Here is a 4254-nt window from a genome sequence, read left to right as displayed (position 1 = left end):
GCAGGAGTGGAGTTGGAATTGAAGCTTAGGTTGGTGGGCCCTGGAGGCCACACTCTTCCCACGACACGTCATGCACCCAGATGTGTGAGGGAGCTGGTGGAAGGCACAGTGACTGGAAGCATTTTGGTGAAACTACAGTCCTCAGTATCTATGCTTCCCACACGCACAGATTCAACCAACCGCAAGTCAAAAATGTTTGAAAAAAAATAAAAATACAACAATAATGGCCGGGCGTGGTGGCTCACATCTGTAATTTCAGCAGTTTGGGAGGCTGAGGCAGGAGGATTACTTGAGCCCAGGAGTTCAAGACCAGCCTGGGCAACATGGTGAAACCCTATCTCTACAAAAATACAAAAATTAGTCAGGCATGATGACAAGCGCCTGTATTCCCAGCTACTTGGGAGGTTGAAGTAGAAGGATCGCTTGGGCCCAGGATGTCAAGGCTGCAGTGAGCCGAGATGGTGCCACTGCACTCCAGCCTGGGTGATAGAGTGAGACCTTGTCTCCTTGTCTCCAAAAACAACAAAAAACAAACAAAAAAATACAATAAGAAATACACGTTTTTAAAAACTACACAGAATAACAACTATTTACATAGCATTTACAGTGTATTAGGTATTATAAGCAATCTACAGATGATTTAAAGTATATGGGAGATGTGTGTAGGTTACATTCAAATGCTATTATTTTATTTTATTTTTTAAGAGACAGGGACTTGCTTTGTCACTCAGGCTGGAGTGCAGTGGCAGTCACAGCTCACTGCAGCCTCAAACTCCTGGGCCCAAGTGATCTTTTCACCTCAACCTCATGAGAAGCTGGGACTACAGGTGCACACCGCTGCACTGGGCTAATTTTTTTTTTTTTTTTTTTTTTTAGAGGTGGAGTCTTGCTATGTTGCACAGGCTGATCTTGAACTGGCCTCAAGTGATTCTCGCAAAATGCTGGGATTACAGGTATGAGCCACCGCACCTGACCCACATTTTATATTGTCTGATCATCCACGGAGTTGGTGTCCAAGAGATTCCTGGAACCAATCCCCCACAAATACCATGGGACCACTGTACTGACTACACTGGTCAATGACCCTAAAACATTTCTCATGTGACTAGTACATGGATATTAACTATTTGGTACCCTTTGTTACTGATGTACAGCATATGAAATATCTGTGGTGGTCTCTTTAGTCAGACTGATGTTTTAGTTTAGTTTTGATTCTTAATGAACGTGTATAAATCTATTGACATCAATAAATTGTTTCACTTGTGATCTTACAGGTTCTTCATCCACAAATTCTCTCACAAGAGGCTTTTAAGAACAAAACTATCACCACCAAGGAGAGGAGAGAGAGTTGATACAGCCAAGGATAACAAATTTCATCTTTCTGCACCAACTCCCATAGGTCAGCAGCAACTTCCTGAAGTCCCGCGTGCAAAGGGACCTTTGGGCCCAGCAGCTGTGATCTGTCAGCAATGCCTGCTCCAAGCACGGGAGGGAAAAGAGGCAGTTTTTCCGGCAGGTACTTGTCAGCTTCTGGAAAAGCAAAGATAGACAGAGGCCAGGCCCTCCAGCTACAAAAATGAGTATTCTTTTGGGGGCTGTGACGAGACTCAAATGTCCTCAGCTAAGAAGAAGCTGGACTTCTCCCACCCCGGAGTCCCTGGGCACCTTGTTAGCTAGGGTGGCTCTGGCCATTGATGAGAGAAGGCCAGGAGGATTAAGACCAAGATTTGAACCTTGGACAGCCAGGAAGTTGGCATCACTGTCACCAGAAGTCAGCAGGCCACCTTGTGCTGGATAAGGTGGGCTCCACCACAGTCCCTGCTTGAGGAAGGTCATGGCCACTTCTGTCCCGACCTCAGGGGCTCACTGGATGGTTTAGTTCAAGGGTGGTCTCAAATGGGCCACCTTTGCTCTTCTTGCAAATGTGGCAGATGTTGAAAGCAGCACTTTCCTTTAATTTTCACAAGAAAACACTCACGTAAGACCTTTCTGTGTGGGATTATTACTGAAGTCTGGGGTTACAGGGGATCCCACTGCGCAATGAAGCAGCTTAAGGGTCCTGTGGTGGTCTCCCGAATGCTCACGAATCCACCGTCCTCCCGGAATGGGACTAGAGTGAAGCCCACTTGCCTTGGGTGCAGAATTTAAGAGCAGCCAGAATTCAAGATAAATAATGTTAATGCAAAAAGTAATGGGGAAAAAAATCCACGATGAACAAAAAATCAAAATTTTATTTTATTTATTATCATTTTTTTTTGAGATGGAGTCTCGCTCTGTCACCCAGGCTGGAGTGCAGTGGCGCCATCTCGGCTCACTGCAAGCTCCACCTCCCGGGTTCACACCATTCTCCTGCCTCAGCCTCCGGAGTAGCTGGGACTACAGGCTCCCGCCACCACGTCCGGCTAATTTTTTTGTACTTTTAGTACAGACGGCGTTTCACCGTGTTAGCCAGGATGGTCTCGATCTCCTGACCTCGTGATCCACCCGCCTCGGCCTCCCAAAGTGCTGGGATTACAGGCTTGAGCCACCGCGCGCCGCCAAAAATTTTAAATAAAGACAGAATCAACTATGCCGTTCCATATTGGACCCTGAGGCAAAAGGAGATATCCATGAAACAGATCCTGTCTTTACTTGAAATGTTGATAGTTCGTTCATCATGGATTCCTTTTGTTAATTTTGAGTTTTAAAATATGGCATTAAAATACGATTTCCCTTGATGATTGCGATTTTTGGTGCCCCTTCAATTCTGTGCCCAGGCCAGTGCCTCATTCTCCTCACCCCTGCTCTGCTCTGCCCCTCTTGGCCTCTGCTCCCAGCCTCATAAGAGCATTAAAAATGTCTTCCTCCAGTTTTCCCAGGGCACCTCAACCCTTCCCCGCCCCTACTCCCAAATACAGCACCCCATCTCCCAAGACCTGCCACTTTGAAATTGCTCTTGGCAGAGGATGCCTCAATGCAGACAGTCAGGTGAAGGCCACATGCAGGGACAGGAATGAGTCCACGAGGGGGTTTTCCCCAGTTGGGGGCTTCCTCACATGGAGGGGCTGTCTTTCAGCTACTCGGACCCCACAGGACAGCCCCCAGAGCCAGGAGGAGGCTACAAAGGCGGATCCAGGTAAGGTGTCCTAGGAATTGGGAGGATAAAAATAGTGGTCACTAGACATGAAATCAGATCCACACAGACACAGAGTGCACTGTGAAAGGGGGTCCCTTCTCTGGAGTCCAGGCCCTCCTCTGGGTCGTGAATATTCTCCAGCTCTGGCTGGCATCCAGGGAGGTGGGGGTGCCCCCTGGGCAGGATGCTGCTGGGTCCGAGGCTGGCCTGGAGGATGAAGGGGGGAGGATGAAGCCATTCTCGCCCTTACCTCTGGAGCTAGGCGGACTCCCCATGGCTCCCACCGGCCCCTCTGCTCTTTCTGCTCCACCCTCCGTGTCCAGGGGAGCCCGATAGAGCACGCGGGAAAAGCCGGGTGTCTACGCTTCCGCGACTTAGGCTGCAGAGATAAGAGAAGGTCAGGCTCTGGGAGGACGCGAGGCCGTCCAGGAATGGCAGGGAGGCCCGCTGGGGCCTGACTTTGGTCCTAATGGACCAAAGCTTCGACGGAGCAAGGCCGGGTGTCCGTGGTGGCACCTCTCATCAGTGGACGCTGGCGAATGACTATGGAAACAACATTCAACAGCAGTGTTTTCTATGCCAGGTACACAACCGCCTTGGCGTGGGTTGATAACCATGCCTATCTCACCGCGTGGCACTGAGCCGACCGCACACCCAGGGCCCCGGTCTCCAGGGCTCGCTTACTCGCTTACTGCGTGAAGCATCCATCCCCGCAGGAGCCGGAGCAGGAACAGGGCTGGGCCCTGGGGCGCGCGCATGCGCAGGCCGTGCTCCAGGAAGGGCGGGGCACTGAGCCGAGGGCCGGCGCGGGGCGGAGGGCAGGGGGTGGTCGCACTCTCCAGGGCACCTGTGCGGTGACTGAGAACCGACCCGGCAATCCGCGGGCCCGGGCGGGGGGAGTCCTGTCTCTGCCGCTGACCAGGTGCGTGACCTTGGGCAAGTCACTGAACCTGCAGGTGCCTCCGTTTTCTCGTCTGGAAAATGAGGGTCCTAGAGTCGCCCATCTCATAAGTCGTCGTAGCTCCGGGTATAACTTAGGCCGGTGGCAGGCACGGATGCGGACTCTCTGTGCGGCAGCGCTGAGCATTCCGGTGGGCGCCTAGGAAGGGCTATTCTTATTCTGCTTCCTACCTAGTCTC

At 51.2% G+C, this 4254-nt stretch overlaps 1 annotated feature.

Annotated features, from left to right (window-relative positions):
• Positions 3805 to 3984: a silencer, noted in NCBI's record as "silent region_6056". NCBI's record gives its function as "represses an Ori minimal core promoter by ATAC-STARR-seq in GM12878 lymphoblastoid cells {active_cell/tissue: GM12878}" and the evidence as "EXISTENCE:reporter gene assay evidence [ECO:0000049][PMID:35858748]".

Source organism: Homo sapiens, chromosome 14, assembly GCF_000001405.40.
Source record: "Homo sapiens chromosome 14, GRCh38.p14 Primary Assembly".
NCBI lineage: Eukaryota > Metazoa > Chordata > Mammalia > Primates > Hominidae > Homo > Homo sapiens.
This window is presented reverse-complemented; position numbering and strand designations above follow the sequence as displayed.